Genomic DNA, 21,977 nt, shown 5'->3' on the forward strand with positions numbered 1-21,977 from the left:
CTTCCAATATTATTGCCATTCTTGAAGTGAGCACAGTATAGAGGATTCTCCAGGGGTTAAGGAAGGATGGAGATGGGGAAGAAGCAGGTGTAGCTGTAAAAGGACAGCAGGAGGGATCCTCGTAGTGAGGGAACGTTCTGCATCCTGACTTTATCAACATGGCCTTCCCAGTTGTTGTACAGTACCTTGTACGAGTGCACCGATATTGTACTGTACTCATATGAGATGTTATCATTGAGGGATACTGAATAAAGACTACAGGTATTCTGTATTATTTCCTACAACTGTATGTGAACCTACAGTGATCTCAAATTTTAAAAATTGAATTAAAGAGTACTGCCAGGCACGGTGGCTCACATCTGTAATCCCAGCTACCTGGGAGGCTGAGGTAGGAAGATCACTTGAGCCCAGGAGGTCAAGGCTTCAGTGAGCTATTATGGTGCCACTGCACTCCAGCCTAGGCAACAGAGTGAGATCCCTTCCCTAAAAAAAGAAAGAGAGAAAGGAAGAAAAGAAGGAAGGGAGGGAGGGAGAGAAGGAAGGAAGGAAGGAAGGAAGGAAGGAAGGAAGGAAGGAAGGAAGGAAGGGGAAAGAGAAAGAAAGAAAAAGAAAGAAAGAAAGAAAGAAAGAAAGAAAGAAAGAGAAAGAAAGAAAGAAAGAAAAAGAAAGAAAGAAAGAAAGAAAGAAAGAAAGAAAGAAAGAAAGAAAGAAAGACTTACTGAGCACCTGCTGGGTGCCAGTTGGCACCTTTAAGTGAGTATTACTTTCATCCAATTTTACAGCATGGACAGGCAGCTCTCCCAAGGTCATCAGCTAGTGGTGTTGAGCCTGGGATTCTGACACCAGAAGTGCCTCTTTCAGCCTCCACCCTCTCCTCAGCCTCTCCACCCTTCAGCCTCCACCCACTCCCCACTGGCTGTTTCTGGGCCCTCCACACAAGCTTGCCCTGTCTTTGAAAGGGACCATCCACTGCACTCAGAGACCCCACCGCCCCCTCTCTTGGAGCAGGTGCATTCTGTGCCCACTAATGTCCCTGGCACTTGCACATTGCAAGGCCCTCTCCCTGGAAAGACACTGGCCACAGGCACCGACTCGGCCTGCACGTGGGACAGAGGACACCCACATCCTCATGCAGGTAGGATGAATCTCCATGATGTCACAGCAGGACTGAGCCCCAGTGCCCCACTCTGGTGACCTGCACATCCACATGCCCTGCACTGACTTCCCAGCTTTTCCTGCCTGACTTCCCCACACCCCTCTGAGTGTGTCCTAGTATCACCTCCCTGGTAGACCAGTGATATGGTTTGACTGTGTCCTCACCCAAATCTCACCTTGAATTGTCATCCCCATAATCCCCATGTGTTGAGGGAGGGACCCAGTGGGAGCTGATTGGACCTTGGAGGCGGTTTCCCCCATGCTGTTCTCATAATAGTGAGTGAATTCTCAAGACATCTGATGGTTTTATGAGGTGGTTTTCCCAGCTCTTGCTAGCAGTTCTCTCTCCTGCTGCCATGTGAAGAAGGTCCTTGCTTTCCCTTCACCTTCCACCGTGATTGTAAGTTTCCTGAGGTTCCCTAGCCATGTGGAGCTGTGAGTCAATTAAACCTCTTTCTTTTATAAATTACTCAGTCTCTGGTATGTCTTTATAGCAGTGTTAGAAGGGACTAATACAACCAGCTATCTCAGAGGCTGGGGCCCCCATCCTGGGATGTGCACACCAGCTCCCTGGGAGCTTTCCTGCACATGGGTGATGCCAAACACCTCTGTGCCTGGAAGACTGCCTGTGTTCATGTCCTGGGGCTGCTCTAACACATGGCCTCAAACTTGATGGCTTAAAACAACAGGGATTTATTCTTTCATAAGAAATGGAAGCCCAAAGTCAGAAATCAGTATCACTGGACTGAAGTCAAAGTATCAGCAGGGCTGCGGTCCTAACGGAGGCTCAAGGGGAGCAGCCGTTCCTTGCCTCTTCTCAGCCTCTGGAGGCTGCAGGGCTTCCTTGGCTTGTGGCTGCATCACTGCTCTCTACCTCTGAGGTCAGAGCAGCTTCTCTTCTCTGTCTGAATCAAATCTCCCTCTGCCTCCTTTGTATAAAGATCCTTGTGATTGCATTTAGGGCCCACTTGGATGATCCTGGACACTCTCCTCATTTCCAGATCTTTATCACACCTGCAAATACGCTTTTTCCTTATAAAGTAAGATTACAGGTTCTGGGGGTTAGGACCTGATATCTTTGGGGTGGCCATCATTCAGCCAACTACATTCCTCAATCTGGGGCTCCAGCCCAGACTGGCCCCTTCTCCACCGGGCATGTGTCCTGTCTAACTCTGAACTCCTCCTTATCTGACACCTGGGTTGCCCTGCACAATTTTTTTTTTTCTTTTGAGACACAGTCTCCTTCTGTCTCCCAGGCCGGAGTGCAGTGGCACTATCTAGGCTCACTGCAACCTCTGCCTTCTGGGCTCAAGTGATCTTCCCACCTCAGCCTCCCAAGTAGCTGGGACTACAGGTGTGCACCACCACACCCAGCTAATTTTTGTAGTTTTGTAGAGGTAGGGTTTTGCCATGTTGACCAGGCTGGTCTTGAACTCCTGGGCTCAAGTGATCCGTCCACCCTGGCCTCCCAAAGTGCTGGGACTACAGGTGTGAGCCGCTGCGCCCGGCCCTCTGGGATTACAGGTGTGAGCCGCTGCGCCCGGCCCTCTGGGATTACAGGTGTGAGCCGCTGCACCCGGCCCTCTGGACATCTTCAACCAAGGCTGCAGCACCCATCTGTTGTAGAAGCCAGAAATCAGGGCGTCATCCTCACTCCCACCTCTCCCTCGTCCATTTTGGCCACGGGTCCGCCCAGGGCCCATGCTACCACCAGCATGGCTATGGGGGCCTTCACCCTTGGGAAGATGCAGGAGGAGCTCATCTCACTCAGAGCCAGCAGCTGTAACGTCACCCAGGAGTGCACGGCCATGCAGGACACTTGCCCATTCTAGAGATGAGCAGTGGTTATTGTTTGTTGCGTCAGAAACCATAAGCCCACTGGTTTCTCTGGGGCCTGGGTCTGGCTCCTGTCCCACTGCAGGTGCAACCTCTCCCCATGATCTTAAGCTGAGAAGTAGCCGTCCTCTGGGCCCAGATGTGTCGTGGACTGCAAGCTTTCCAGATACAGGGTGGTGGCTGTGGACCTGTGCTGGGACTCTGAGGGTGCCAGGCCTGTCCCAGCAGCCCCACACCCAGATACCCTCTGTGAAGGAGATGCAGAGGCAAGTGAGGAGGCCAGCTGCCCAGACGATCCTGCCCAGCATGTTGGGCGCTGCCAGCCACTGGCTCCGGCTGTCATACCCAGGCTGGATTCTGAGGCCGGGGCTGGCCTCCAGACACCTGCAGTGGGCCGCCCCAACCAGCCAGCCCAGCTGCCTGCAAAGACAGAGCTGGGGACGGCCTCTTCTCAAATGTGCAGGAATTTCCTCCCATCTGCCTTTGGCCAGGCCAGGGACCTGGGCTTCCACGGCAAGGCAAGGTGTCTAATCTGCATCTGGGCCCAAGGGTGACCCAGCAGGCCCTGCACAGACTCCCCAAATGGAAGGCACAATGCCAAGAGATGGGGCAAAGGGAAAATGACATCCAGGTCCTAACGGCCTAGCTGCAAGCGTCCCTGGAAGGCCCTATCAGAGTCTACCAGTGCCCAGGAGCCGACCACAGTGACTGACATAGTTGGAGCCAGTGTCCACCTGTGTCTGGGCCATCCGCAAACACAGTTTACAAAGGGAAAGACACTGACGTCAGGTACTCACTCAAATCATTTCCAACAAGAACTTTCTCTGAGCTATTTGTCTCCAAATCTCCCTCAAGGTGGGCAGCTGAGGAGCAGGGCATAAATGAAAGTTGCCAGACAGATGTAAGATTTGGGGTCTTGTTCTGACATGTGACTTCATAGAAACTGGATATGGGCAGGCAGCCACAGGTGATGACTCCACCCCAAGCCTAGGCGATGACAAGTTTCTAGACCTCTGCTCCCTAGAGCTGGCTGAGAACAAAGGCATGGCTGATGTGACCACTTCTGGGAGGACGCTGAAACTGGGTTCCCACTGGACCCAGGCAGTGTGATGTCAGCCTGACAGGTTAAGTTGTTTCAGTGCCGACTGCAAAGACATTCCTGATTTCTCAGCTGGACCTGTGATGTGTCAAGGACTTGACGTCATGGTTCTAAACTGTGCCTGCATAACAGGCTTTGTTAACCAGACGTTGCAAGGCTGGCACACTTTCAGAACCATAGTGCCAGACAGGTGACCCTCATCTGTGAGTCAGGTTGTGAGTGTGCTTGGTGTGGTTGAGGAAGTGGAGTGTGTGGGTACTGTGGTGGTAGGAGGGGCTCTGTGCCACAGAAGGTCTCCATGCACACTCCAAGAACTAGAGCTTCCTCGGACCTTACAACTCTCTGTTTACCTTTCCTGGGAGCAGTTGGCCCATTAGCCACTCACACCTTAGTATGAATTTGTCTGCCCTGCACAGGCCCTCTTACAACACAGCAGCTGGCCACAGCCTGCATTCATGTTTCAAGCTACCCAACCCTGTCGGTCCTGTGAGATTCTGTTTCTTGTGCCTGAAAGGAGACTCAAACCTCATACCAGACTTGGGGAATTTCAGGATATCAAGAATTATGGAAAGATCTCTGGAGCAATCACACAGGAAAAACCAGGCAAACTACAGAGAAATGGGGATCTGATTGGCAACATACTTTTCATCAGGCTCAGTGGGTGCTGGAAAACCACAGAGCTGACCTTTAGAATTGTAAGAAAGAAGAGTATTTTGAACTCAGGATCTGTGCCCAGCTAAACCATCAATTATGTCTGGGGATGAATTTCCAGATATGCAAGTTTGGGGGATGTTTATCCCCTGCTCCTTCTTTTGTGCTTTTTCTGAGAAGCAATTGTTTCAGGATGTACTCCAATAAAGCCAGTTACAACAAAAGGAATTCAAGAAAAAGAGAAATGGGATCAGAAAACAGTTGCATTACCCCATGTGCAACAGAAAAAAAATTCTAGTCTGAAAGTCTAAAAAGCAGCTGATACAAATGAACCATTCAGAATAGTACAATGAGGATGCTGGATGGTCTTCCTCACGTGTTTCTTCCATCAATATGGAAAAACAAAGGCAATTAGCAAGGCCAGGATAAACAAAGAGTTATAGAAGAGTATCATCGGCAATTGATAAGAGTGTAAAAAATATCCATTTAAACGTTGGCTCCCAGATTATCCCCTGCCAGCAGCCAGGCTTAGGGGTGTAAGATTTCATTTCCTTCCTGGGTACAGAAAGGAATAATATTTATGAAATCATAATACATGCTTCCTAGCTTAAGAATTATAGACTCAAAATATTGGCAATTACAGGGAAGACATGGTTACAGATTCAGAACAGAGAGTTAATGTTACACATCTTCTCTGGCTACTTATTAAATTATGACTCTCTCTTCCTTTATTCCTCGCTTTAGTTCTCTCCATAGTTCTTATCACCACCTGATATATTGTCTAATTTACCTATTGATCTTGTTTTTTTTTTTTTCTCCTTCAAACTGGAAAGTGAGCTCTGTAAGGCTAGGGGCTTTTGTCTGTTTGGTTTGCTGCCTACAATAGTGGCCGGCATATAGCAGGTGCTCACTACATTTTTTAGAGCAAATGATATCTGAGCAATGTAAACATGAGGGCTTCATGACACCAGCTGGCACATAGGGTATAGAGCATAGGAGCCCTCAGCTCTTCACTTGACACAGAAGGGAGTCATGAAACAGTGCCCAGGCTGGTGAAACAGAAACAGAGGTCTATGCACATGACTCCAGGCTATTTCCAAAAACATGGAAGAGCTAAAAATGACATAACTAACAAAATTAAGGGGACAATGTAGGAAGTGGAAATGACTTAAACTTCTCTTTCATACTGGGACATCAAATAGAAATGGTCGAAAATTGATAAATCCAGAAACAAAGTAAAAGCATTTTATTTAGAATTATGGTGGTAACAACAAGATCTGAAAACACAAACTGTTAAAATTGTTCTCTCCCGAGAGCGGGACTAAGGGCAGGAAACTTTACTTTTTTCATTTAATATCAGTCTATACTGCTTTAATATTTTTACTTTGTGTGTGTATTACTTTTATAATTTTAAAAAATGTGGGGAAAAAGCTATGTACACAGACCTCAATATCCTTGTTTCCTGTAAAAATGTCTTCACTTATTTATGATTTAGTATTATGCCACTGGACTTTATAGAGGGTCAATATAAAAAATGGCCATCTGAAGAGTGTATCTATATTGTTTGAAAACTGCAATAAAAGACATTCATGTCCATTATGTCACCAAATGTCCCTTATGTGAGGATTCATGCTGTAAACTTCTAGAATTTCACATCTGAAAAAAGTTTGTCTCAACTAGGGAAAAATATCTGCCACAGATATGGAGGACAAAGAGGTTGACATTCTTAATATAAAAAACTTTCTCAAATTAATAACAAAAATCCTTAAATATGTCTATAGAAAAAAAAGAGAGAAAGGATACAAACTCACCAAAGAAGAAATTAAAAATCACCAAATAAGACAGTCAGTTAACATTTTACCTCTAGCAAAATTGAAGGAAAAGCGGTATGGGGAGAAGTGGCAGGAAGAGGAGGAAAGGGAGGAGGGAAAGGAGGGAGGGGAGAAGAGCTCATAATGACAGATGTACGGGGAGCCTGGTGCCCTGGGCTCTTCAGACCAACTGGATAACATGATCAAAACTTAGAAAAAAGATTACTGTGAGCCCAGCATTTCATGTCTAAGAATTTAGCCTAAGAAAATAATTGAGTAAGTATGTAAAAATATATTTCAATCGGATCCCTCAGCTCTTCACTTGACACAAATGAACAATTGGATGAGGAACAGTATTGACTGAGTGCCTCTTCTGTCCCTGGTACTTACAAGGATGTTCATTTAAGGAATTAAAAAATAATAACAATCCAAAACATTGGAAACCAACTCTCTATCCCTGTATTAGCTTGCCAAGGCTGATGTAAAAAACTACCCCAAAATAGGTGATTATAAATAACAGACATTTGTCTTCTGCCAGTTCTGGGGGCTGGAAATCTGAGATCAAGGTGTCAACAGAGTTGGTTCCTTCTGACTATGGGAGGCAGAATCTTCCCCAGGTTGCCCCACTAGCCTCTGGTGGTTTGCTGGCAATCTTAGGTGTTACTTGGTGATATGGTTTGGCTCTGTGTTCCCACCCAAATCTCATGTTGAATTGTAATTCCCAGTGTTGAAGGTGGGACCTGTGGGAGGTGATTGGTTCATGGGGGTGATTTCTAATGGTTTAGCCTCATCCCCCTAGTGCTGTCTCATAACTGAGTTCTCATGAGATTTGGTTGTTAAATGTGTAGCACCTCCCCCTTTGCTCTCTTCCTCCTGCTCCAGCCTTGTGCAACATGCTGGCCTCCCCTTTGCCTTCTGCCACGAGTGTAAGATTCCTGAGGCTTTCCTCAACCATGCCTCCTATACAGCCTGTGGAACTTTGAGCCAATCAAACTTATTTTCTTAACAAATTACACAGTCTCTGATAGTTCTTTATAGTGATTTGAGAATGGAATAACTCCCTTGGCTTGCAAATCTCTGCCTTCATCTTCACCTGGTGTTCTCCGTGTGTGTGTTTCTGTGCTCACGTTTGCCAGGTCTGTAATGACTCTAGTTGTATTAGATTAGGGCCCACCCTAATAATTTCATCTTAACTGGATCCTGCAAAGACCTCATTTCCAAATCACATCATATTCACAGATACTGGGTATAGAGGCTTCAACATCTTTCCGGAGAACACGATTCAACTCATAACAATTCCAGATAGGGAAAGGGTGAAGTAAATGAAGGTAACCCATATCATCAGTGCTACCCAGTCATTAAAATAGTACTGGACATATATAGTTAGTTACACAAAAATATATTCTTAATATAAATTAAATGTTTAAAAAAAGATTATAAATCAATATAATAGCATGATTCAATTGTAGTCACATACATGCGCATTTGCACACACAGCTGGAAAAATACATTCTAGAATGCTCACAGTTACTTTCATTTAAACATTTAACTTATTTAATATCAAGATAGATGAGGGATCTCCCTGGAGTCTCATGGTTACAAGTGGAGCAGAGGTTTTCTCCTTCCTTTCTAGTATTTATCAGAATTCGCAATATATTCACTCGTGTGTCCTTCTATTCCTCACTGCTGCTTTACTAGTCCAGGGGAGCCATGAGCACCAGTTTTGCTCACAACTGTATACCCAGGGATGCGCCCAGTAGACCCAAAATTAGTAAAGTCAGGTGCTGCATAACAACATTTAGGTCAACAACGAACCATGTATACAATGATGGTCTCAAAATTCTAATGCTGCATTGTGACTGTACCTTTGTGATATTTAGATATGTTTAGATACACAAATACCTTCATACAACCGCCTACAGGATCGGTACAGTGACATGCTGTACAGTGTGTAGCTCGGCAGCAAGGTCGCTTAACAATGCACTCCCCAGAACATGTCACTGTCACTAAGTGATGCATGATTGCTTTTAATAAATGCATGAATAAAGGAATTGTGGACGCTTTAATTTTTGTCTTTACTTTCTTTGTCTGGATTTTCTAATTTTTCTACAAATGGACACATATTATCACTTTTATAATCATCATAAAAGGCCTACATGGTTTTTGGTTGTGGCTCAGATGAATTCTGTGCCATTTCCCTGAGAGAAGGGTAACTCCATGTAATGGGCTGATATTTGGAAGACACTCATGTTCTTTTTCTTGTTCTGCACACAGACAACCTTCTCCCGGGCAGCTAGGAGCATCCACCCCCCTCTGTGGGCAGAGGGTGGGTGAGCATTTCTGCAGCAAGAAGAAGTTAATGTCCAGGTTCTGACATTCCAATCCAAGCTGGAATTTATGGCAAGATTTAGAGTACAGGCATTTTTAAAAACAAAGGACTTTCTAAATTCATTTAACTTCTAGCGTGTTGTGGGTTAGGGTTGGTGGATCAGATCCTGGGATCTTACCTTTAAGAAGGTTCTTTGAGGACAGAGAAGGAAAGAAAAGCCTGCCCCACTGCCCTGCAGATCATGGGAAGCGGGGGGACAGAGCCAGCTGCCTGGGAGAGGGGTGTCCAAATTGTGGCTCCCTGCCCAAGACTTCAAATGTGGGTTGGAGAGTTGAAGGGCATGCAGAGGGCAGAAAGGCATTTACACTGATCCTGTGCTGGGACCCTGGGAACCCCAGTGCAGGGAGACGGACCTTGAACATAAGACTCAAGGGTAGAGCAGCATGGTCAGGGGCAGCCCTTCCAGCCCCCAGCAGACACCACGCGGAGGGGCTGGTAGAGGCCCCGCCACAATGGGGGCAAGGTCTCCCACGGCAGGGGCTACATAGGGGAACTCTCTAAGCTGGAGACAGAGGAACCCAAGGCAGCGGCTAGAGGGTCTTAGCTAGGGGCTGCGAGATGCACCATCTTTCTTTTTATAGAGATATTCTGTTTCTGAAGTTAGCACGTCCTCTGTTCGAGATGTCAGCTCTTCCTGGCTGCTTTGGCCCCTGGCGCAAATCACCAGGGAGGTAACCTGACTGGTTAGTGTGTTAGGATGCAGGTAAAGCTGTCATCTCCAAGGGTCTCAAAGGATACTGCAATTTAAATAAGATGCTATTTCTCTCCTTGTACTCGGTTGGATAGCATTCTCCCAAATTCACATCCACCCTCAGAATGGGGCCTTATTTGGAAACAGGGTTCTTTGCAGATGTGATTAGTTAAAATGAGGGTGCATGCACCCTGATACCATTTGGATGTGTGTCCCCTCCAAACCTCACACTGAAATTTGATCCCCAGTGTTGGAGGTGGGACCTGGTAGCAGGTGTTTGGGTTGTGGGGCTGGATCCCTCGTGAATGGCTTGGTGCTGTTCTTGCAGGATTGAGTAAATAAACTGAAACTATCTGAGACAGGTCTCAGTCAATTTAGAAAGTTTATTTTGCCAAGGCTAAGTATGTCGCCATGACACAGCCTCAGGAGGTCCCAACAACATGGGCCTGAGGTGGTTGGGGTACAGCTTGGTTTTATACATTCTAGGGAGATGTGATTCGTCGATCAACACATGTACGATGTACGGTGGCGTGGTCAGAAAGGCAGGACAACTTGAAGTGGGGGCTTCCAGGTCACAGTAGATTTAAGGATTTTCTGATTGTCAATTGGTTGAAAGAGTTATTATCAATAGAAAGTAATGTCTAAGTTATGATAAGGGGTTGTGGAGACCAAAGTTTGATCAGCAGATGAAGCCTCCAGGTAGCAGGCTTCAGAGGGAATAGATTGTAAACGTTTCTTATCAGACTTAAAGATCCTATTCAATCAGTGATTCCAAAAGGGAGGAGGGTAACGAGGCACGTCCAGCTCCCCCTTCCCACCATAGCCTGAATGAGTTTTCAGGTTGACTTTACAATGCCCTTGGCTGAATGGAGAGGTCCATTCAGATGGTTGTAGGGCTTAGAATTTTATTTTTGGTTTACAAGTGGAAGCTTCCTGAGTCCTTACCAGAAGCAGATGCCAGTGCCATGCTTCCTGTACAGCCTGCAGAACCATGAGCCAAATAAACCTCTTTGCTTTGTAAATTACCCAGCATCAGTATTCCTTTATAGCAATGCAAAATGGACAGAGACGCACCCTAACCCACTGACTGCTGTCCTTACGAGGAGAGGAGAGGACACACAGGGACATGGGCAGGCAGAATGACGTGTGATGACAGAGGCAGCTATCACTGTGCTCCAGCTCCAAGCCAAGGAATGCGGAGGGACCCCAACAACCCCTTGAAGTGAGAGAGACAGGAAGGAGCCTCGACCTGGAGCCCTCAGAAGGAACACAGCTCTGCCAACACCCTTGATTTTGGACATGAAAAAGGCCTCCAGATCTGTGAAATAATAAATTTCCGTTATTATAAACCACCAGCTGGTGGCACTTTGTCATGCAGCCCTGCGAAGCCCACGCGTACCTCGAATAGTGCTGAGATGGGCCCACAGTTGGCTCCACAAGGCCCTCCAGCCCCTAGGCCTGGGGGCTGCTCCCACACAGGGCCCCACCGCTGCTCCATGGCCGCCATCACCAAGGCCCCTGCTGCTTGGCTGCGAGGCAGAGGAAGATGTGGGGCTAGTGTTTGTTTCTAAGGAGCCTGCTCAGGGTGGCACCAGTCCTAGTCAGCCCAGCTGCTCAGAGCTGTGAAAGGCAGTCTCTCAGGGGTCCATGGTTTCAGCTGGGACTCACAGGAGTCTTTTCCATCTCTCAGGGGGTCCATGGTTTCTGCTGGGACTCACAGGGGTCCTTTCCATAGAGGAAGATGGGCAAAGACCCTGAGGGTGGTTCAGGGCAGTTTGGCTGCTCCTCTCCCTCATGCAGTGACTGTGGCCTGGGAGGTGGGTCAAGGGAAACAAACAGGGCTCTGAGGACCACCTGGTTAATGAGGGCAGGTCCTCGAAGGAAGCAGGGCTCCCCCAGTCAGCTGTGCAGGTGAGAGCAGGATAAACACAGCAGACGGACCCACGCTTCTGAGTGTTCATGGAGTAGCCCAAAACCATGGTGCCTATTTCCTTCCATTCTTTTAAAAATAGGCCACATAGGAACTTTATACCACATTTAGAAGGGGATGCATTACTTGTAGGCTACAGTAAGAAAGGCAAAATCAAAGGTGATTTGTCTGTGTCTGACCAAAAGCCACCAAGCATGCAGGTACCAGGATGTCCTGTAGCCCAGCTGGTACCCAAGGGAGTCCCAGCACCATTTGGCAAATCTTCCAGACTCAGATGGACACATCCCTTTGACCTTTGACAGGTCCACGTGAGGGTCATGTGTCACTTCCTGACAAACAGTTTAAGGGCCTCAGTTCTATGTTCAAACCCCCTTCGCTCCCCACTCTGGGTGGTCGCAGAGCCTGTGAAGGAAGGTGTCTCCGCCAGCCTGGGCTCCTGGAGCAGGCCAGGCTCCCCCGTGCTGCACCAGCAGTGCAAGCTAGAAGTAACCGGGCTATGTTAAGACAGTATGATCTGGGAGTTGTCTGTTGCTAGCTCATTCAATCAAACAAAGGAAGCAATGTAAACATCTATCAGTGGAGGAGTCTTTAGCTCAGAATCGCAACCCCCGTGCTTCAGGGGCCAGGCAGGAGCAGGAGTGCCAGCCAGCAAGGGAGGCCAGCAAGGGTGGCCAAGACGAAGCTGCTGGGGTGATGGGCAGGTGCTCCTGCAGTGCCAATGCCAAGTGGCGAGGGGTGCAGGTGGCTGTCTCCTCCCAATTTCCAGAAAAGCTGGACATGCAGATTCTACGTGCTTTCGGACACCGAGCAGGAAGTGCAGGAAGCCAGAGGACGAGACGGCGCATATTGTACGACTCCGTTTATCTGAATTGTCTAGAGCAGGGGACTCTATAGAGACAGAAAGGAGGTTGGTGTAGTTTAGGGATCAGGGGCATGAGGTGGGGGAGGTGGGAGGGACAGTTAAAGGGGGAGGGGTTTCTTTTTGAGTGCTGAAAATGTTCTAAAACTGCTGTGGTGATGAGCGTACTATCTGTGAATATACTAGAAACCTCTGCATTGTATGCTGTGAATGGGTGAATTGGATTATATGTGAACTGTATCTCAACAAAGCTGTTTAAAAGAGAATGTGTATATTTGTACATAGACAAGACTGGCTGGTGGCCTTTGCTCCAGGGAGGGGGTCTGGAAGGAAGAGAAGGATGACAGGGGCTTTCCCTTTGAACTTCATGCTATGTCTGCTTTATTTCTGTGTTAGATGAATTTTTGCAATAAGCAATTACTTTTGTTTTGTAGGAACTCAATAAGGATTGAAAAAAGGAGAAAAAACAAAAAGGAAGATACAAACAGTTTCTACGAATGTGAACTTCCGTGGCTTTGCTGGCATTGTCTTTCTGATTTTGAAAAAAGTGGACGTCCCCACGGGCCAGCCCAGGTGAATAAACTCAGTTTCTGTGGCCTGACTGAGATGCACCGTCCTCCACACAGCAGCAAGTACATACGTGAACATCCAGGAAACACACGTGCGTGCTCATAGGTAAACATGGCAGACTCATCATTTCTGGATGGCATCACAGCCATTTAGGGCAAACCTGAATCAGGTTCCGTATCAATCACATCGTTATTGAAAGGGTCTGGTTATAAACCTTGTCCTCAGAATGGATAATTAGAAGATGGATTAGACACAAAGCGCCGTTTCTTTTTCTTAGAGCAGGGAACCTGACGCAGGGCTCTGCAGCCGCTGCGGGCTTGCCGACCGTCGCCTGGTTGTAATCACCATGACTTATGGGTCTTGGCTGGTGTTTTGGGCAAGATGAACATTGTTGGAGCAGAAATTCATAGCGCGTCATAAGTATTCTGCTTTTTTCACTTTTAACAAAACAGACTTTCAGTTCCAAAGGCAGCCTGGGTCTGGAATGTGTGTTAGATCTTTCAGAAACATAAACTTATTTTCTCGTGCTTACCCCTGACGTGTGCTTCCAGGAAAGCGTGACAGGCCACAGGCAAAGTGCAGTCACAACGGGGCTTTGCGCCGAGCAGGAAAAGTCTGGATTTGAAATCAGAGCGGGGCCTTGCCAATGCCACTCTGTTCCTTCCCAGCCGAGATCTGGATGTCCACATTCTGCTTTATTCTTGCTTTTGAGATTCGAGAAGAAAACACCTGCCTGGTGTACTTAGTCCTGAAATGTAGCCCAAGGCAGGGGCAGGACATGTTCAGGAGATCCACAAATCTCCCTTTGGTGAGGTCCCTCCGAGCCCATCCGGAGGATGCAGGAGGTTAGTGAGGGGAGCTTTGGAACACAGGAGCAGGCCTGGAAGAGCGGGGCCTTGGTGGGGGCCGGACCCCGGGCAGGTGGGCCCAGGGATACGAATAGGGCCCTCCCCAGCACAGCTGCCCCACTGGGGACCAGGCACACAGTGGCCCTGGGCACACAGTGGAGGAAATGCGTAAGCAGCTCCCAGAGTCTCAGTAACACGGGGGCCTCTCATCCTGCAAGAAACACCCTGGGGCTCAGAGGCGGGGCGGAGCGATGACCAATGTCCCATGACTCCGCTCCTGGCTGCAGTGTTCAGCCTCATGCAGGCCGAACAGAGCAACCAGGGCGAGCAACCAGGGCCACCAACCGGAAACCAAGCGACATCTCCTCTGATCCCCACCGTGCCTGAAAGGTGGTGGAGTGGGCAGAATAGTGGCCCCAAAGGTGTGTCTATGACCCAATCCCCGGAACCTGCAAATGTGATTTTATATGGCAAGCAAGTGATTATTACCTTCATGACAAAAGATGCAATGAAGTGAAGTTCTTGAGTGCGGAGTGCACCCCAGTCATCCCGGCGGGCTTCCTAAATGCCACTGCGTGTCCTCATAGAGGTGTGCACGGGAGATGTGATACAAACCCAGAGGGGAAGGCAGACTGGCGGGGTGCAGCTGCAAACCCAGGAATGCCTGGACCACCTGGACCTGGAAGGGGCGAGAACAGACTCTCCCCGGGAGCCTCCGCAAGGGCTCGGCCCTGCTAGTACCTTGGTTTTCAGCTTCTGGCTTCTGGAGCTGTGAGAGAATAGATGTCCGCTGTTTTAAAATAAATTTAAATGCACTCAGTTTGCGATCATCTGTCCAGACAGCCGCGGGAAACAACACAGGCAGCATCACACTCCCAAGCCGGCAGCGAGGTTTTCCAGGCTCAAAATCTCCGGGCGGCTCTCTGAGGCCACGAAGCTGGGAGCTGGGGGACCTGGGGTTCACCGGCGGGTCTTTCCGAGCACAGTTGCTCCCGGCCCACCCACGTGGCTGAGCATTTCTTCTGCTCCCGCCCTCCCTCCAAGTCATTTCTGAATCCCCGCCTGATATGACAAAGCTAGCGGAAGAGAAGGCGGGCCACGGCGGGGGTGAAGGCGTGCTGAGGATGCTTGCCTGAATGAACAGCAACGCTTTCTCGGCTTTTTGTGTTGACCTAATGTTTCCATTCTCTTCTCAAGGACATTTCTCTTGGGCATGAATGGGATGGCCTCGCAGAATCTCAGAGAAATCTCAGGAAAACCGAAATGCCCGTGAATGAGCCAGGTAGAGCGCCGGTGAGGGTGAACGGGTGGGCGCTGGCATAGCGGAGCCGCGGTACTGGGCCTGGGGCACTGGCCCGGGACGTGGGCGTGTCTCTGTCAGGTCAACCGGCTGCCACAAACATTGGGCCACTGCCTAGCCAGGAAGACTCCTTCCCTTGCCATGTGGGTTGAAAACAACAGCAGGAATAATAATAACAGATGATACCAATCAGCAATGGGAAGAGCTCAGATGGAACTCTACAAGGTGGGAAGGATCCTGTCCCCGTCACAGAGAAGCAGAAACAAAGAGCCGCTGCCCCAGCCGTGGCTGGAACACACCCAGGTCACACTCAGTGCAGGGACTTGGTTCCAGACGCCTCCTGTCCACCCGGGTCCTGGGCTGCTTCCTCAGGAGAGCTATTTCAAACTTACCAAAACAAGTGGTTGATTTGAAGGCTTATATTTTACATGGAATTTCGTGGTTTTCCTATTATGTGGTGTGCTCTTCGATGTGAATGAAAGCGTTGATTCAGAGACAAAAATCATACGGAAACCTCCATTTTCACCTCCAGGGCTTTGGTCGTGCACAGCAGCCAAGCTCAGGGCCCTATCCCAGTGGGCCTGGGGCCAGGCGGGCAGGCTGGGGATTGGGGAGCAGGGGTGGGGGTTGGGCTGCTCCTGTGCTGCTTCTTCCCCTCCAGATTCTGCCCCCAGCCCTCCCCCCATGCCACCGTCCCCCCGAGGCCCCACCATCCCTCCGCTGGCCACTGGTCGAGTCTCCCATGCATTTTGAGAGACATGGAAACCTGACTGGTCAGCAGAACAGCAGTCAGAAGTGTCCCCTCCCTCTGCGTGGGAGAGACTGTCCTTCCTCTGGTGTCCACTCTGAGAGAAGTGCAAGGGGTATATGCAAAAGAAAATAATTCATTCTATCAAAAAGACGCACAGGCACTCGTACGTTCACTGCAGTGCTGTTCACAATAGCAAATGGAATCAACCTAGGTGTCCTCCAACAATGGATTGGATATATATACCCTGGAATACTACACAGCCCTTAAAAAGAACAAAACCATTTCCTTTGCAGCAACAGGGATGGAGCTGGAGGCCATTATCCTAAGTGAATTAACAGAAGAACCAAAGACCAAATATCACATGTTCTCACTTATAAGTGGGAGCTAAACATTAAATGCACACAGACATGAAGATGGGAACAACAGACACTGAGGATGACCAGGTGGGGAGGAATGGACTGAAAAACCACCTACTGGGTCCTGTGCCCACCATCTGGGTGACAGGATCATTTGGACCCCAAACCTCAGCATCATGCAATATACCCATGTAACAAACCTGCACACATACCCCTTCATCTGTAATAAAAGTTGAAATTATAAAATAGTAAGAAGAAGGCAGAAGGAAGCCATAGGGGACCTGGCCCTGAATGGGCCCACAGCTCAGAGGGGAGATGCAGGTGAGGTGCCAGCACGGGGTCCCAGGGACTACTCCAGAGGACGGGGCCCTGCACTGGAGTCTGGAGGCAACGTGGTGGACAGGAGAGCGCAGCCCCCTTTAGTGACGTCGGATCTACGTGAAACCATCTGCCCATTTCCCTTATCTTTCATCGTTTCAGGGGGACTTTGGGTCAGAACCATGGCTGGCATCTAAAAGATTCATCTATGGCCTTCCTGGGGCAGTGCTGAAGATGCAACACAGGAAGAATGTAGGTTCTTAGCAGACAGTTCTTGTAAAACAAAATAATGAATTCACCCAAAGTATGAGATATTGATTTAGCATCACCCAAGAAGTCATCCTAACACTCCATGAAGAATACGTTTTCAGTTCTAAAATCTTCTAATGGATATGTCAATTTTAACAGATTTTTCCCCGTTAGGTCTAAATCTCTGCTTTGGACGGTAGTGTGCGGCTGGCTGTCAGGAGCACGATCGCATGACAAATGGGGTTATGACGTACATTTCCATTTTCCAAATGAGCCTTGCAGCTGGGGCTACAGCCGGCCTGCCTCTCTCCAGGCAGAATCCTGAGGCTTGGGAAGCAGCCGGAAGCTGGGGTCCTGGGGGTGGGAGGTGGCTCCATCCACAGAGAGCCGGGCAGGGTGGGCCAATGCCAGCTGGGGCCATCCATAAATTTAATTGTTTTATGGTGATGCCTAGTGTTATTGTCTCCATTTTGTGGGGGAAAAGTCTGAGGCCCAGGGAGAGGAAGTGACTTGTCCGATGTCCTGCAGCTACTTGTGATCGTGATAGCAGCTTCCATAACAAACACCGCCGTGGTGCCCATTCTGTGCCGGGGCTGGTCTGAGCGCTGCATCCTTATTAACCCCCTTTGCCCTCACAAGTCACGGCATTATTCACATTTTACAGAGGAGGAAACTGAGGCACGGAGACGCAAAGTTTAGAGATACTCACCAGAGGCCTTTTGGTTGATAGATGTAAAGCTGCGACTTACCCCCCCATCACCTGGGCTCCTGCATTCGGTGACAGAAGCATCTGCTGACTCCCCTGCCCTCTCCCAGGTGATCACACGCACCCCCACCTTCGGCCCCACCCTGGGGGCAAATCACAGCTCTCAGCTATGTGAGGCTCCTTCCCTCCAGAAAGGCAGGGTCTGTCCTGCCACAGCGCCCGGCTCTCAGCCAGCTTGGCCCTCCTGGGCTACAGTCAGGGTGGACGGTGGTCCCTTGGGCAGGGTTCCAGGCTTGCCTGCAAGCAGCCCTTCTGAGGCGGCCAGAGTGACTCGGCGTAGCGAGGGTCCTCATGTCTTTCATCACACAGACCACGTGCTGCTGGGTTTTTTTCCATCGATTTCGTTGCCTTGCTCTATAAGGTTTTCCCCAGGACTTTACCATAATAATGTTTCTAGTCAGGCTGATGATGTCTCCCTTAAGAGATATTAATATTTGAATAAATTGTTTTTAAGGTGCATCTCCTTATGAAATAAACTATAATAAGCACGCTGTAGTGTTCCATGGAACACAGTATGCATCGTGATATATAGAAGGGCTGTCACATATCCATAACTTTGCTTCAACTTCCTGAATCCGTCTGCAAGGGCTAGGATGCCTTTCTAGAACATTCTGTGTTGGAGAGGAAAACTCACCAAGGCTTCTTCAGAATGAGCTAGGGTGTTGGGCTGGACCAGCCTTGGCGGTCAGCTGGGATGCAGCAGTTTCAGGGCTCTTGGAGAGCCCCTCCCGATAGCAGGAGGGGGCTGCTGTGCTGCAGGCTCCGAGAGCGAGTCCACTGTCCAACCAGGGAGCTGAGGTGTGTGATCCACCTCCTTCAAGATCATCCTTCCCCCTGCAGCCCAGCTGGATGAGTCATTGCTTCCTGCTGCAAACCACTGCTGGAGGAGGACTTCACTGCATTTGAAGCTCTTTTCTTTAACGGCAGGTGTTTGATGCATAGCCATATCCAAATCTACTCTTCATTTAGTATTAAACATCTGTTCCAAACAGCATTGTGAAATGTAAATGCTAGCATCTGTGTTAAACCTTAATACAAAATTCATTAAACGCATAGCCCAAAACTTTCCAACCTCATTATAAAGCCGTGTGCTCTGCACTCACTTACCAGAGCTGTGTCATGGCCCTGCAGCCTGTGCTTGAAGGCTGTGCGGCACACAAAAACAATGCCAGGGGGATGGGGTGAGGTTGCCACCATTACCCAAGAGAGGCAGGAAGTCAGGCTCTGCTCGTTTTGTGCATCTCAAGAGAAACTGGATGCCCAGTCCAAAGAACTCTCAGGCTTCACCACCCACGTAAACTCCGATATGTCCAGGCCTGAGACCTTGGTGGCTTCTGCAGTGAGGGCCAGGACAGGGTGGACCACTGGTCAAGACCTGTGGGCTGCCTGTGTAGTCAGCACCCACAAGGCCGAGAAGCCATTTGCAGAGATGACTTGCAGGCAGTGGGGCCCCCACTCACCTGGGGTGCCAGGGAGGTGAGCTCACCATGCTCGTCTAGAACTGCAAGGCAGACAGGCCACAGGGCTGGCTAGAGTCTCGGAGCCTCTCCTTATTAGTGCACAGATGCTCAAAACCATTTCCATAGGATCTCTGCTAAAACACAAGGGACACCTCAGGGCAGCTGGGTACACAGAGGCACCAGATGCCACTTGGCCACTGTTGTGTTTGGTGACCAGGACATGTGTAGGGAGATGCAACTGAAGCAGAAGAAATGGGCAAATCCCTTGGAATAGAGAGGAAACTCAAGAGCACCAAGAGGCTGCTGTGACTGATTCTGCTGTTCCAGATATCTATCATCAATGCCTTGCACCATGGTTTAATTGGCTGTGTTCTCTTTCTTCGTTGGTCATAAAATCATGGTACAACCACTTAGGTGGATGAAATAAATAATGTGTAACTAAAATAGGTTTTGCAAACCAGCACTCATCTGTAGTGTGTAATTTGCTCTAAACGTGTTCTATTTTATTCTATCTCATTTTTCAAAAATACTGGTCGTGATCTACTATATAGTCATGACCAAGATTTCCTGGTTCACTAATGGGCTGCAGTCTGAATAAGATGGTGATGGGAGCCAGCTCGCCAATCCTGTGTGGAAAACCTACCTGGATGTGGAAGAAACATGCCACACGGTTGAGCCTCTGAATCAGCCCTGTCTGACAGAAATGCAAAGGGAGGCACAAATACAATTTCAAATTTGTAGCAGCCCTGTTAAAAGTGTAAAAATAGGCTGGGCGCAATGGCATGCACCTGTCATGCAGCTACTAGGGAGGCTGAGGCAGGAAGATCACGGGCCCGGGAGTTCAAGACCAGCTGGGGCAACACAGCAAGACCCCATCTTTGAAAAAAAAAAAGTGTAAAAATAAGCAGGTGAAGTTAACTCTATGTTTTATTTAACCCAACAATTTAAAAACATCTTACTATGTAATCAATATACAAACATTACTAATGAGATACTTCACATTCTTCTCTTCACACTAAGTCTAAAACCTGGTGTGTTCTGTAGTTTGCACTGACAGCCCATCTCCATTCAGACTAGACACGTTTCGAGAGTGCAGAAAACAAGAGTCCCATGTGGCCAGTGGCTGCCATATTGGACAGCAGAGCTGCAGGGCAGAGGTCGGTCAATCTCTTCTCTAAAGGAACAGACAATAAATATTGTAGGCTTTGCAGGCCAACAGTCTCTGCCACACCTACTCCACCTTGCCACGGTAGAGTAGAAGCAGACAAAGACAATACTTGAACAAATGTCCATGGCCGCATGTAGGTGGCAGGGCAGATCTGGCCTTCGGACCACAGGCTGCCAACCCCTGAAATGGGTCACTCCATGCCTGAAGCCACTGATGTTTTTAGACTCTCTAGTTCAACCCAGTAAGTCCTCTTTCTAAACTTGCTCAAGCTGTCATCAAAAATTCCCAATTCAGAGAGTTACCATTTTGAAATCTGGCCCCCACTGAGAAGCACCGGGCAGCCCTCAGAGGTCCTCTGGTCCACAGATTCCTCCCAGCTCTCTGGCTCCGTCCCAGGAGAACACTCCCCTGCCTGTGTGGCCCAAGCGCTCTGTGTCTGCCTCTCCTCCTCTCCCTTCCACCCCTTACTTCCTGCTGTCTTCTCTGAGCTGTTGACGGGCTCGCCTGCACTTGAAAAGCATGCAGGAACACGAGGCTGTCATCGGTGAGAGCCAGCACTGTCTGCTCAGGGACTTGGAATCCCTAACCCAGGGAGTGGGGGCGACTGTCAGGCTGGCTGCGGGCAAGCTGATGGAAAAGGCCCTCTGAGAGCATGGTGTTCCTGGCCTAGAGAAGCTTCCACACCCTCCCTGGTCACTGCACCTCAAGGCCCTGGAAGAAGCTGGTGGCACCGGCGCTGGAGCATCACTCACTTATAAGCACAAGCAGATGCCAGCCAAATGGCTCCAATGGCTGCTCTGAGCTCCAGACCAGGCACTTGCCCAGCCCTGCACAGGGAATGAGTTTCAAATGACAAACGTTTGCCTAGGGGCTTCCAAATGCCATTCCCGGAACCGAAGATCACTGTGTGATGGCAGCGTGGTGTGGACTTCCCTGGTTTGCCTGCCTGGTCCCCCACCGTCCCGCGGGGGCTCCTTGTCCCCGGCTGGCCTCTGCTGATTAGGAGGCCCTGACCAATGAGTCGCTGCTCTGAGGTTTCTGGACTTGGAGAGGGGAGTGGGGCTCTCTCTGTCAGCTGAGATCCCATTTGGAAGCTGTTGGCTGCCATGGAGAATGCCAATTTGCAGTGCAAGCGAAAGAAGCCAATGGCCCATATGCCAAGGGAGGAGAGTGGGGAAGGAGCAGGCAGGGCCCCAGGGGCATCTGTGGCCTGGAGCTCGTGTTCAGAGTCTGGCTCATTCTTGCTTTTTCTAGTAGCTTAGTGGCTCTTGAGGCATCTCCAAGTGTTTTCACTGAGTCATTCTTTCTGCTTGAGCCAGTTTCCGTTTTGTGTCTACCACATGCAAGCAGATGAGCCCTATGAAGTTCCGTTAAATAAGTCCAATCTAAAGCAGTGGTGGAAGCTGCAGCGAGTGCAACCAGCAGAGAGGGGCAAGAATGGTGTGTCCAGGGATGCCAGGAGGAGCTCAGCCCTTCAGTAGCTGGAACCTGAGGCCAGCAGCTCCTTCCCCACCCATTGCCCCGTTGTCACTGCTGTAGGGCTTAGTTTAGGCTTCGGGGGAAGCGCCTCCCCTCCCCAGAGGAGAACGCACAGGGCTGCTCGGCTAACCCAGACAGAACTCCGTGCCCATGCTGTTTTCATCATGGAGAATGCAAAACACTTGTGATATTCATCGATATCACATGAGCCTTTGGGGGCATCACAGGCATCACCTGGAGAAGAAAAGCCAAAGTCATCCCAAGCTGGGCACACAGGAGCTGCTCTTTAGA

General features: G+C 49.2%; 1 annotated feature.

The window, feature by feature from the left end:
• Positions 13,492-14,332: an enhancer, noted in NCBI's record as "H3K4me1 hESC enhancer chr10:131811814-131812654 (GRCh37/hg19 assembly coordinates)". NCBI's record gives its function as "activates a minimal SCP1, AML or CMV promoter by ChIP-STARR-seq in primed H9 embryonic stem cells {active_cell/tissue: H9 hESC(primed)}" and the evidence as "EXISTENCE:reporter gene assay evidence [ECO:0000049][PMID:30033119]".

This window comes from Homo sapiens, chromosome 10 (assembly GCF_000001405.40).
Source record: "Homo sapiens chromosome 10, GRCh38.p14 Primary Assembly".
In the NCBI taxonomy this organism is placed as follows: Eukaryota; Metazoa; Chordata; class Mammalia; order Primates; family Hominidae; genus Homo; species Homo sapiens.